This window comes from Homo sapiens, chromosome 2 (genome assembly GCF_000001405.40).
Source record: "Homo sapiens chromosome 2, GRCh38.p14 Primary Assembly".
In the NCBI taxonomy this organism is placed as follows: Eukaryota; Metazoa; Chordata; class Mammalia; order Primates; family Hominidae; genus Homo; species Homo sapiens.
The window spans coordinates 207193902-207207699 of NC_000002.12; the positions used below are offsets into that span (position 1 = coordinate 207193902).

Genomic DNA, 13798 nt, shown 5'->3' on the forward strand with positions numbered 1-13798 from the left:
ATTAAATTAACAATGACTTTTAAAATTCAGTTATAATTCAATAACTTACCTCATGCTAGATGATTGCTCATGATTCTTGTCAATAACCTTTTAACAAAATCAAATCGTAAGGAGAAAATCACCTATTACATTACTATTTCATTCATTTATATTTTTATAATCTATCCATTTCCACTCTTTGTTTGACAAATTCATAACTAAGGTTGTGGATTTTATATCTTCTATAGAACATTATCATCCTCATAGAGAATGGTGGCCATTCTTTGAACAATCTGCCTTTAACTTACTGGTCTTCAATCGAGGCTGTCAATCATTGTTGGAACAAGACAGGGTGAGTCTGATGCAGTGAACACACATCCATCAAATTCAACTTAAGGAATATATACTCTATGAGGGTTTATATTCTGTTCTGAAACATCATACAAACCCCTCCATGGTCAAACACGGAAGCAGAGCTCTTAATTATTCACTCTCCTGGGGATGGGTTGAGGGGGTTACATACTATGGAAATTAGATGTGAAGAAATGCCAAATTCCAAAGCAAAACTTTTTAGACATAAGATTACATCAGGGAGTAGCCTAGTACCAGCTTTATTTTCTAGATTAATACAGAGAGGTATCCATCATCTTGTTTGAGGAATAAAAGCCAAATATGTAAATGTGTACTGATTTTATCTCAATAACAAGATTGATAGTAAAAATAATAATTAGGTAGCTGTGACATAAAAAATTAAAGGTTTTATATCCTGTTTATGTTAATGATAATAAAACCTCAAGGTATAGCAATAAAGAATTAACTTATTTTAAAACAATTATGTAGGAGGCAGCTAATAAAATTACATTGATGTTATATACACTTGTTCTTCCACGAGAACCACAGCAATCACATAAAATTAAATTTAAAATAATGCACTAAAATACTCACTACCCAAAGGTGATCAACAGATCTTCCTTAAGCATCTAACTGTGATAATTAGGAAGGGAATGTTTGATTTGCCCATAAAACTCATTATTTCTTTTTCTATTCCTGGGATTCATTTATCTCACTTACCTGTGACCTGTTTAGTATGGATCTGGGTCACTTTTAAATTAAAGATTATGCATTTTGGGGTAATAAGAAGGCCACAAAAGAATAGTGGATATAAATAAAATGCAGGCATTCCCTAAGTTACAAACAACCAACTTAAAATACATATACATGTGAGCCCAGCCCTGGAGAATGAAAAGTATAACCAGTCTTGCCAATCCTGATACCTCCAGGACCATGCAAGTAACATAAATGAATAGAGTGACCATGTGAATGGGAGGCAAACAACCACTACCAGGTCACTGAATTACTGCCACATAGGAATAAGGAGCAGCACATAATAACATTTCTGAATGTTTAAATGTTTGGACACACCAACTCAAAATTTTAAAAAATACTTCAGAGGTATGAGCCTGCTTCAGTGTAAACCCTCTGAATATTAAAGAGGGATAATTTGTAGACCTTCTTTATTCAAAATTTGTAAATCCAGTCTCCTGGGATTTTTTTTTTTTTTTTTTGAGACTGAGTCTCGCTCTTATTGCCCATGCTGGAGTGCAGTGGTGCAATTTTGGCTCACTGCAACCTCCGCCTCCGACTCCCTCTCCCAGGTTCAAGCCATTCTCCTGCCTCAGCCTCCTGAGTAGCTGGGATTATAGGTGCATGCCACCACACCCAGCTAATTTTTGTATTTTTAGTAGAGACAGGGTTTCGCCATGTTGGCCAGGCTAATCTCGAACTCCTGACCTTAGGTGATCCACCCGCCTAGGCCTCCCAAAGTGCTGGGATTACAGGCGTGAGCCACCGTGCCCAGCCTTCTAAACATGTTTCTAAAATGTGAAATAGCTCATCTATGATTGGTAAACAAGAGGAAGATGTTAATAGAACATAAATGACACACTGGTTCCCACAGTTTTTTTTGCCAGCACATTAGTGTTTGGTGTCTTGTAGTAATGGCTGCTGGATGCAAAGTACATTAGCCCAGCTCAATGCAGCAAACCACAGGGGAATACAGTATTGTCCTATTCATTCTGTTCTGTCTTAGAAGTGATTATTTACAGTTTCCCCCCAATCTTTGTGCATTTTGGCCTTGTCTCAATAATCTGCAGACACAATCTGTTATTTTTTAAACATTCCTTTAATCAAGCTACCTTCATTTTAAGTTTTCTATGTACTACAGTATATATTTAGTAAGAAATTAATATGACTTTGATTTCTAAACTACTAGAATTTAATTAAAATATTGTTTTTATTGATGCTGTATTTGCAGTGTTGCCTCAGTGTTAATTAGTCTGTCTCAATCTTATTTTTCCCAAAAGCACTGTTATTTTTGGCATAGGCTTTTGCAGAACACAATGTTTTGGGGTTTTTTTTCCCCCAGGAATACATTTATCACACTATAGCTAAAATGTTGCCACTTATTGAGATATGTATGTAGGGTTTCAAATTAGATCTGTTTACTAATTTGTTAGTATCCTTAAGCCAGCCTTTCAATATGTGGGATTCAATTTTAGCTAAGCCCTTTCCTTATATTATTTCATTTAAATTTCTCAACAACCTTATTCAATTAGCAGCATGTATTGATTGGAAGCTGGGTGCAAGGCAGCCTGCTAGACTCTGGGAATATAGTGGTGGACCAGACAGATCTGGCCCTTACGCTCATAGAGCTAAGCTCCTTTATCAAGTAGATACTCTAATAATCGCTATTATAAATTATCACTTGCTGTGGACTTCAGGGTTGCCTATGTCAATGGAGCATTCTAGTTCTTTGAGGCTGAGAAAGTGAGAGGAAGCCTCTTGTCACTGGATTCCCTGCCACTGCTCTCAGGAGGCAGCAGGTAGGTTCTCCCACACCACATACCTGCCAATCCACCCCTACCCCACCACCACCAAAGGAAGCCGGGAGCTCCCAGGGGCTCTTCATTGCTGACCTATTCTTGTCCCACTCTCAACTCTCAGCCACGTGACCCTGGCCCTCTGACTTCAGAACTTGTTGAGATTTAGTCTTTCTGGGGCTGGAACCTCAGCTTTCCCTGCAACTTTCTAGCTGAAATTGTTTCTCTGCTCAGGTTCTCAGCTTTCAGTCTTACCTGAGACAGCTATCTTCTATTCCTTCTCAGCCCTGCAGAACCAATATCCAATCATTTGGCCAACCTGGCTTCCCACAACGGGGGTTTGGATATTGGGCTCCATTCTTGCCATGTCTGGGACTTTTGCACAAACATTCTTCAATTCTCTATAATCTCTCCTTGCCACTCTGTGGAAACTACTGTCCCATGGAAACAACTTGTCTACATGTCCAGCTAGTTCTTTCAATAATATTCAATTTATGATCTAAAAAACTACAACTGTACTTAAAAGTCTCAATGGTGGCCCAGCATGGTGGCTCACACCTGTAATCCCAGCACTTTGGGAGGCCGAGGTGGGTGAATCACAAGGTCAAGAGATCGAGACCATCCTGGCCAACATGGTGAAACCCCATCTCTAATAAAAATACAAAAATTAGCCCGGTGTGGTGGTGCATGCCTGTAGTAACAGAGCAAGACTCCATCTCAAAAAAAAAAAAAAAAAAGTCTCAATGGCTTCCCATCACCTTTAAATTAAATCTGGACTCCTCTCAGAGGCCAAAGTCCTGTGTGACCTGGTATTTGCCTCCTCAAATCTTAGTTCTTGCCACCATCTCTCTTTACTTTCATGTTTACGCCACACTAGCCTTCTAGGCTCTTGAGCATAGCAAGTTATTTTCTATCTTAGGACTTTTTCACACTTGGTTCCTTCTGTCTGGTGCTCTTCCACTCTGCCCAAATGATTCTTTCCCATATTTTAAAGTCAGTATAAATGTCACCTCCTCACGGAAGCCTTCTGTGATCATCGCGTTACTTCCTATCCCTGCTTGCTGTAATTTACCTCTACAGCACGTATTTCCTAAAGAGGGTCCATATTTCACCACCATACACCCTGTGTTGGCTCAGGAAAAGTCCATAATACATAAAATTTGAATGAATAAGCTACTTACAGCATTATTAGGAATGATACAACAATAATATTAACTTAATGGGACTAATGCTATAGTATAAGCAAATAGACATTTGAAGGCTTGACAAGGAGCTTAAGCACCATTTTAAATTTTGTTCCTAAGGAAACAGTTCCAAATCTAAAATGTCAACTTAAAATATTTTAGAAAATATTCATGATTAGTTGGTGGTTGCCTGTAACTACTTTCAGGTTCAATAACAATACTGTATTCTGGTTGCTGTCAGGGGTGGAGTAGGGACAGGAACAGGTAAAAGAAATAGAAAAATGGCCCCTGTTACTAAGACCTTGCAATATAATTGAAGAACAAAACCCAGATGTAAAACACTTTATGTATGATTAGATGAACAAGTTCTATACTGACAAAAGAATACACTGTAAGGGTCACATTAAAATGTGAAGAAAGAAAGAATGATGCATTAAGGAACATATCCTAGAAAAGATAAATTTGAAGCTATGCTTTGCAGGATGTGGCTTGGATGAGTCCCTGGAGCTCTTTGTTGAGTGGGCCTTTTGAGCATTGGGGTATCTCATAGAAAACCACAGAAGCAGAATGAATGGCTTTTTCTTAGGAGATAGCAGAGAGTACAAAGGAAGGAGAAATGCTGGTGATAAAAGAGATTGAAAGAGGGGTTCGGTTGCAGTGAGAGGGAGTTTGTGAGGGACCTGGTCTTAGAGTGAAAAATTTTTACCTGAATTACCTATTTGAAACAATAGGTTTCCCACAGTTGAATTATCTGCTGGTTTGCACACAGTCGAATTATCTGCTGGTTTTAGAATGGATTGGACCAAAGAGAGATGAAAATTAGAACAATCATCTGAGAGGCTGCTGATATCTCTAGCTAGCTAGCTATCCATCCATCCATCTATCATCTATTAATCAATTTATCTGACAAAGAGAACTCAAACAAGCAGGGAACTATGGGAACTAAAAGGAGCTATAAATTCAAGGGACATCTTAAGGGATTTTAGGAAGGAATTAGACAGAAATTTGTCCGTCTAGATTATTACACCATCTTCAGAATGGAGACCTCAGTCTAGTAAACGTCCCAGCATTATCTGCCATTTTGAAGACATTCAGAGAGGAGTCACAGGGACAAAAGAATTGCCACAATGAACAAGACCCTCGGGCTCTTCCACTCATGTGCCACTGGCCACAGTAACCCTGGATGCCCTGAGAGTACCTGCTTCTCCTCCAGGAGTTCAGACACAGTATCAGAGGACCACCAAGCATCTATCTGTACACAAAAAGTCTCAGGCTATACAGCTGTAGAATGCAGGCTATGTCAGAATGCAGTTCAGAAAGGCATGTAAAATAAAGGACTCACATACCAGTGACAAAACTCCACCTGCAAATCACATAAATGTCTTTGCATCAGCTCTGTCTATGTTGAGCAGCACCCTTTCGGGAAGAAAATGGAGACCTGATTCTATGAGCTTGTGGGAAGATTGGTCCTCGCTGAAATCACTACCAATTCCTTTCACTTTCAGCATCTCATCCAAAATTCAATTAATCTAGAAAACTTTCTACGGTTACCACTAAACTTGTTGTTTTTCCAGTAGCCCAAAGTATCTAACCCACTTAAAGGGAAAGAATGTTCACAAAATTTAGAATCTTTAATATCAACAAATTAGACTATACAAGAAATCACTATTTACTTTATAAATAGCTAATTTTTTCAGTGCTTCACAAGATTCAGCCCTCACTCATCTTTTCAAGAACACAGCTATTGCACTAAGTGGCACACCTGTGTATTAATTTGGTACTTCCTGTTGTTTTATAATTATATTCTTTAATCATTTTTATGAGTGTCTTCTGTCTAACTATATTATAAACCTGGAGGTACAAACCTAATGTATTAAGTTTTTGGTATCGTCCTGTAGGTCCCACTGCTGTTTCTTTATACACAGTGGAAATTCAATAAATGCCCTTCCCATCAGACTGAGTTGTTAAGTCAGAAGAGAGGTCAATGTTTTATAGTTAGGTCTAAATCTTTTGTGACTGGAGAAGAAAGGAAATGGGCAGGTATTTTAGCCTTAAAATGGCATGGGAAATTTTTTTTTTTTCTCTGTAACAATTCGAGTAGATTACATTGGATTTACCATGTAGCAGGGATCATGGAAGCGCAATACAAAACTCAGATGACAGTATGAAATGTATTTTGTGTGTATTCACAAAATTCCACAGAATCAATCACCATCCCTTTGACCGAGTTAATATGAACTCCAGTGGCAGTAACCCACGGACCTCTAATAGAATTCACCGATGGGAAATAGTAACAGTTCCCGTGGAGGCATTACCTTCACTGCCAACTGTGATCTATGGATGACAGCCTCCCAGAAAACACATTGACACAATAGGCTGTAATGGCTCAGATGGGGCCTTTATGTGATATCAGGCCAGTGATCCGCAGACAATGTCTCGCCGGGAGGTTTCTCAATTGCCTTCACCAAGGCTTTCCCTCCTGCTTTCTGGCCTGTCCGGGTACTTTCCTGAGCTCAGGGATGTTTGCCTGTGCTCTCAGGCTATAGAAGCTTGCCTCACAGCATCTCCATTACACAAATGAGCCACTAAAAAGCCAATGAGAAAATGAAGAATACCTACAGATAAAATATTTTATTCAATCTGCAATGATGTTGGTGCAGATGCATTTGTTTATGAAGTGTAATCCAGCTCCCACAGCGAGATTTGGACTTTATTCCTTATCAAGCTCTGTTGACCAGTTTGAAAGCTCCTTTGTCCACAATAAAGAGGCTCTGCCACCCATGAACCAGTCAATCAGTCAATAAGTATCTGGTGAATATACTCATAATTGTACAATGGATTGTTGTATTTGTCAGAGAATAATTGGCTTCTGCCCTTAAGGAGTTTCTAATAGAGTTAAAAAAAAGGTGAAACTGACCCACGTGAACTCCCATGTAATTATGGGCTAAATTGCTAGGTTGGTGAGCTCTGTGTTCTGTGTTACTTGATGATTGTGCATTTAAAGATGTCTAATAACACCTAGTCTTCACACATCATTGTTTTAATTCAGTGACACAATGGGTACATGACTTGGCAATGGGCAATAACTCAGACAGTACAAGGAGAGGAAAGAGTGCATTCATCAGCAGATGCTGAAAAGGCTTGAATCTTACATTCTAGAATAAGTCAAGGGCATCTAGAAAGAAAAATTGGGAAGTAGGAGAGAGATAGGTGATTATTAACATTTGCAAATACTTATGCCCCAGACACTTGACAAGTGACCTCATTTTATCTTAACAACTGCCACAAGAGATAGAGATTAGCATCATTTTATACTTGAAGAAATAGAAGCTCAGAGAGATTTACTTGTCTTGCCTAGGTAATACAACCAGGAAATGACCCAGCCAGGCCTCAAACCCAGATCTGTCTGCTCCAAAGCCCATTCTCTTTCTACTGCACCATCCTAACTCCCTATCACACCTTCTATCTTCTTGAACAAAGCACATAGATAATGACTATCTCTTCTGTCCTGCCATGTGAATTGTCTTCATAATGTCCCCTTTAGGGTTGGGTAGGAAAAGAGAGATAGGAAAAGAGAGAAATCAAGCAAAAGACAACAAAAGTGAAGAACAGATTTAAGAGCGTGCCTTCTGCCAATTCACAAAGCCAAGGCCAGAGTTGATATTCTGCCAGGGTGCCCCAGTCCAGCATACCAACCAGCATCCATCCGGACTGGTCAGTGCAAAAGCCATGTAAGATGTGACATATTTTTAAAATATCATCTCCCATAATGTCCTTACTGGATCTCTGAAATTTGGGGATATTGACTATTGGTTTTGAGAAGAATAATGTCAAATGCAGCTCTAAGGTCAAAGGAAGGCCTATGAATTACATTTATTGCTGAGAGAAAATTTACACTGGGAAAAAAGCAGTTCTTTCAGTTATACATTTTACTTTTTTTTTCCAAATCTTAAGAGTGTGGGAAAGCAAGCACAAGGTCTTGTTTAAAGTTTTAAATACATATTATAATTGTTTGCTTTGGTCTAAAATTATGATACAGAAGAGATTTTATTTATTGTATAGATATTCAAAAGACATAATAATGATTATTCTAATTACCCAATCCATCTTCAATATTTAACTCCTCAGAGATAAGCACTTTCAACAATTTAGCATGTATCTAGCTGTTTTCTATCCATAGAGGAACATAAAATATATTTGAAATACATGTTTATTTTACAAAATTAAGTCACATAACCTACTCTGCAGCTTACTTCTTACACATAATGCATCAAGGGCATCTTTCCTCATCAATACATATAGATCCATTTTGTTCTTTTCAATAACTACATGGTATTTTGTGTATGGATATACCATAACTTCAAGTCTTATTGATATATACTTAGAGTGTTTTCAATATTTTGATATCTTAAATATGCTACCATAACATCTTTGTGCATTTTTGCACACTTGCATAAATATATTGGTAAGAAAAAGGTATCTTTTTAAATACATTGGTCTCCTTTTAGCAAATTGATGTCAGGTATTCATCTGTGTCTATTTTTTAGAAATTAATGCATATATTTATAATTACTCTATATAATTTACTCATGCGTCATCATACCAATATAATATGTTGGTATTAGAATTATATATTTCATGCATTCTTGATTAGATGCACTCCCCACATATAACATTGCATTGATAGTTTCATAGCAATTCACTTTCAGTCACAGTTGATAAGCCCCCGTTGCAGTGCAAATCAGGCACCATCCCAACAGGTTTTAAAGCACATTCAGAACCTCAGAATAGTAACTCAGTAAGGACCGGGATAATCAGAGAAGATTTCTTGAAAGAGCTCAAACTTCAGCTATGCCTTGAAAGGCATTAAGGCATAAGGAAGATTTGGATAGGCTAAAAGACAGAGACCCGATAATGTGAACCCAAGAAGTCAGGACCACGGACAGAGCAGAGGTAGACTGGATGGAAAAGTGCACTTTGAGAGGAGTCCTGAGGGAAAGAGTAGGAGACACAAAGTGAAGCTTTATAATGAAGGTTTTGAAAAACAGGTCAGAAGGTCTAGATCTGATATAGAACCAGATAAGGGCTAGTGAGCAATTTGAGAGAGTATTTAACAAAGCTGGAAACTATGTAAAGTAGGGCAACCTCACAAACAAAAATAGAAAATTAAGTGAGACATTCCACAGAAAAGATTAACATGGTCCACAATAACAGCTACTACCTATTTAGAGTTTACTCTGTGACAGGTCCCGTGATAAGTGCTTGGATTACACCATCTCAGTTAATCCTCCTCATGACCACTCTTTGAGCCTGTATGATTATTAATCTCATGAGTGAGATATGCTTAGGCTCAGAGAGGTTAAATGGCTTGCCCAACTTCACATAGCTTACCAATGACAGAGTTTGGATCCCAACCCATGTCCAAAGCCAGGAACCAGAGCTGAAATGCAGTTTTATATCACAAACATTATGGAGATTACATTTCACATGAACTCACAGCTTCCAAAAGGAAATGTTCCTTCCTTTTCCACTGTTTCCCTCCTTCCATGGAAAAGTATAAAAAGACAGTTTTATAAAAAAAATTACTGAGTTCAAATCACCCCTGTGATAGTTCCATCCAAGCTTATAAAGTCTTTGAGAAGTAAAGTGAGCTAAACCCTAATATTGTTTGTCAGCTCACTGAGTTACTTCACACAATGTCACCTAACCTCTAGGAATCTCACTCTCTTCACTCACAGTGAGGTAGAAGAGAGGATATTACAGATGCCTCCTAGATCCTAAATTACATGATGCTCTTAGTCTTTGCATTTTGATGCCAAATGATGCTGATTAAAGGAGGACTTAGCTAACAAAATCTAAATCTTACTTGGTCCCAAGAACTAGATTATAATCTCTTGTAATTTTCATATGCATTCATTAATTTGATCATTTATAAATACTTCTTGAGTACCTACTATATACCTACTTTTTTGGAAGATGTCCTACATTCCTTTGTGTGATTTAAGTTTTAAGCCATTTAATCTCTACACCAACCATATTAAATATTTTCTCATAAGAATGATACACAGATTAAGTCATCTGCCCTAGATTACACAGCTCTATAGCAGAATCAGGATTTAAACCCAGAGAGGCCCCAGAGCCCCAACTCAATCTTAATGCTTTGCTCAATAATCATTGCACCCTGTCTCCCAGGAAGTATCGCACTGCCTGATAGTAGAGTTAGTACTTGGCTGAGGCTGAAAAAATGAAGGCCTTTAAGAGAGGTTGTAGAACTCTATAGCTTGTGCTTTGAAATTATAAGACGAAGTTTGAATTCTAGTTTTAGTGCATGCTGAGTGATCTTACTTTTTCTGAACATTTTCTCATCTATAACATGGGGATAAAAATAGCGCCAAAAATTAGGTGGGCATGGTGGCAGTCGCCTGTAATCCCTGGAATACTTGGAAGGCTGAGGCAGGTGAATTGCTTGAACCCGGGAGGCGGAGGTTGCAGTGAGCCAAGATGACGCCATTGCACTCCAGCCTGGGCGACAGACCGCAACTCTGCCTCGAGAAAAAAAAAAAAATAGTGCCTATTCCATAGGGTTGCCATGAAGCATAAAGACAATGTCTAGTGCCACAAAAGGAGTCAGAAAAACACCTGAATTCCTTTAAGAAAATGTTCTAGAACTTTGGATATTGGGAGGCATTTATAAATACAGAATCCATCTTTACTGCAGCTACCTGATTAACTACTTTGAAGAAGCCACTAGAGTCTAAGATTTGCTAATTCAGAACTGCAGACATTTAAACATTAGAGTGCATTTTCACAGAAAACTAAATTCTTAGGGTTACCCATGTTTCCTACAAATAATCACTAGGAACGAGAGTGGACAATCACTGTGCAAAACCATGGCGCATTCCAGGAATACTCATACTGAAAGGAGGGTACATTTCCTCTCTGATGGGGGTATGCTTAATATTAAAGATGCCTTGTGTTTTGTTTACCATTGGTTGTATAATGGCATTCAACACCTCAGGATCATTGTGTTAGCACCAGAATAGCTCCACAAGGGAGATTAGCAGGACTGTTTGTATTCAATTGATTCCTTGATACATTTCCTAAATGAGGCCATTATTTGCATTTTCCATTTTCCAGATAGCTAATCCAAATGTAGAGCTTCTAGTAATTGCCATAAGATACATAATGAGTTTGTGGTTTTGAAAAGTAAAAAAAAAAAGAGTAATCACAATACCCATTCCCACTTCTCTAAGTATTAAACTCCTTTCTCTTCTGAATAACTGTGCCTACATAAATAATAAATATCTGAGCTCATGGACCTGTAATTTTAGAGTATGACAAAAATGCAACTAACCATACATGAAAAAGGTTATAGATGAGATATACTGAAAACTCATCATACTAGAATTATACAGTGCAAGGCAGAACCTAAATCACAGACATGACTAACACCTATAACTTAGTTTTTTAGTAATACAGGATTCAGAGTCAGCAGATTAGGGTTCAAGTCCATACTTCTTCACTTACTAACTGGAGAAATAACTTTAGCAAATTTCTTCTCCAACACTCAGTGTTTTAATCTGTAAAACAGGGAATAAAAATACTACTTACCTCACTGGGCAATTATAAGAATCAAATTATATAATGCATGTAAGCTGCTTAACATGTGGTCTGGAAGATAATAAGAACTCAATAAATGTGTTCTTACTGCAATTTCAAGGCACCTTGTACACATTGTTTCTGATCTTTTAAACAACCCTTCAAAATAAATGGCATTAACTCCATTGTACTGATAGGGCAGTGCAGCCTCAGACAAGCTATGTGACTTGTACCAAATTAAATAACTGCTAAGTGGCAGAGCCTGGTCTTTCTGACCCAGAGCTCAGGCATTTTGATCTGCTCCATTCTGCCCTTCAAAGTCACCTTTGTCCCCAAACAAACCACCATCCTGACTGAAATGTTAAAGCTACTCCATCCTAAGTCAGCTTCCCTGGCTGGCCCAGTACTCAAATCCAAGCACAATATTCCAGCAAGGCTCACCAACTAGACAAAGAAATGCCAACAAGAACATATTTACGATATGCCTTTCACCATAGAAACTGCACACTTTGACAGGCATATGTTAGCAGGAAACAAGGTAGCTTGCTTTCCAAAGTGCTAGCTCTTGCATCTCATAACCAAAGGAGTAGAGCAGCATCTTTTTTTTATTGGCCCATAAACTTTCAGTTGTGTGAGTTTGGCACAAAATAACAGTTGTTAACACAGCAGGCCACCTCTTGGCATTCCAGTGATGGCTATATTAGTGCCACCACAGGGCCCAGGGCTGCCATAAGCCTTTCATGAATCCAAGTGCCACTAATTTTCCCCTTATAAAAACCACAAGATGGTATTCAGGCTGTGCCTTACAATTGATATCGTTGCCATACAGCGAAAAGATCATTAATTTTAAATGCCTACTGTGATTTGGTCTTGTAACTGCACCATGGGCCCAATGCCATGACTAGGATAGTGGTGCAAAGTAAGCGTAATAGTATTTTTACAGTGAAATCTGATTGCAATGAATCCCAAGGACTGAGGAGAAATACAATTAAGGATTATCATTAAATACTAATTCCCCCTTTTCAGCCCTGCACTCACCCTAGCCTCTTGTACATTATATAAATTTTATCTTACAGGACTTAGAATAGGGCTAAAACAAGCATCTTACTGCCTTTCATAGATGCTGGTAATGAAGGGGAGAGATAGTGGGGATAAGATAGAGGAGAAAGAAAGGATAAAGAGCTGAAGGCCAGTGTTGATTGTAGCTTCATTAATAATTCATAATCTCCTCTCCGAAACAGAGTTTTCTCCTAAATTTCTTTCTCAACTGATGTTGCCATAATTCTCCTTTGACGTCCAGCCTCGAAGTTACAAAACCAGATCTTTGACTTGTCCTTGCTTTTTTGCTCACACTCAGTCACTAGGTCTGTGACAATATCTCTCACAACCAACCTCCATTTCCATTCCCACTGCTTTCATCCTAACAGAGTTCTTTAAATCTAAAAATGGAATTATTGCAACCATCAGTTTATCAGAAAGTATATAAGGAGAATTATTTTTATAGAGATAGGGTCTTGCCATGTTGGCCAGGCTGGTCTCAAACTCCTGGCCTCAAGAAATCCTCCTGCCTTGGCCTCCCAAAGTGCTGAAATCACAGGCATAAGCCACCATGCCCAGCCCAGAAAGTAGACAAAAATTCAACTCTAGCTGCAAACAAATCTAGGTTTAAGTTCTGGATCAGATATGTGCTAGCTATGTGACCTTGGACAAATTACTTAATATTTCCAAGCCTCATCTGAAAAACAGAGATAACAATAAGTAACTACCTCTAGGATGTTATAATGATCAAGATAATGCACGTCAAGTGCCATACTTTTTAAACTGTTTTTCATAATCAATTTCTTCCCTCTTTACTTCACTCTATACCTCTTTCAAGTTTCTCTTACTAAAGTAAAGCAACTATAAGAGTATCTTCTGTCCCCAAACATACACTAGGTCTCCAGTGTATAAGACAAATACCGAAATCCCTGGCCTCTTATTCAAGGCCTTTTACTATCAGACCCTAAGTTACCATCCCGACCTACCTCCCCCAACACTGCTCCTTGATAGGAATCCTCCCCGCACTACCAACGAAAGGCTTATGGCAGGATATAAGGATTTGTCCTCTCCTTATATACTTTCCAATAAACTGATGATTGCAATAATTCAGTTTTTAGA

At 38.3% G+C, this 13798-nt stretch overlaps 1 long non-coding RNA gene across 1 annotated transcript in view, besides 2 other annotated features; it reads right to left on the reverse strand.

Moving 5' to 3' along the window:
• The window catches only part of MYOSLID-AS1 (MYOSLID antisense RNA 1), a 67627-nt gene that overhangs the window by 7212 nt on the left and 46617 nt on the right, over positions 1 to 13798 (reverse strand). The window lies entirely within an intron of this gene.
• Positions 6189 to 6767: an enhancer, noted in NCBI's record as "NANOG hESC enhancer chr2:208064814-208065392 (GRCh37/hg19 assembly coordinates)". NCBI's record gives its function as "activates a minimal SCP1, AML or CMV promoter by ChIP-STARR-seq in naive H9 embryonic stem cells {active_cell/tissue: H9 hESC(naive)}" and the evidence as "EXISTENCE:reporter gene assay evidence [ECO:0000049][PMID:30033119]".
• Positions 8881 to 9081: a silencer, noted in NCBI's record as "peak4025 fragment used in MPRA reporter construct". NCBI's record gives its function as "represses an SCP1 promoter by STARR-seq MPRAs in K562 erythroleukemia cells {active_cell/tissue: K562}" and the evidence as "EXISTENCE:reporter gene assay evidence [ECO:0000049][PMID:32103011]".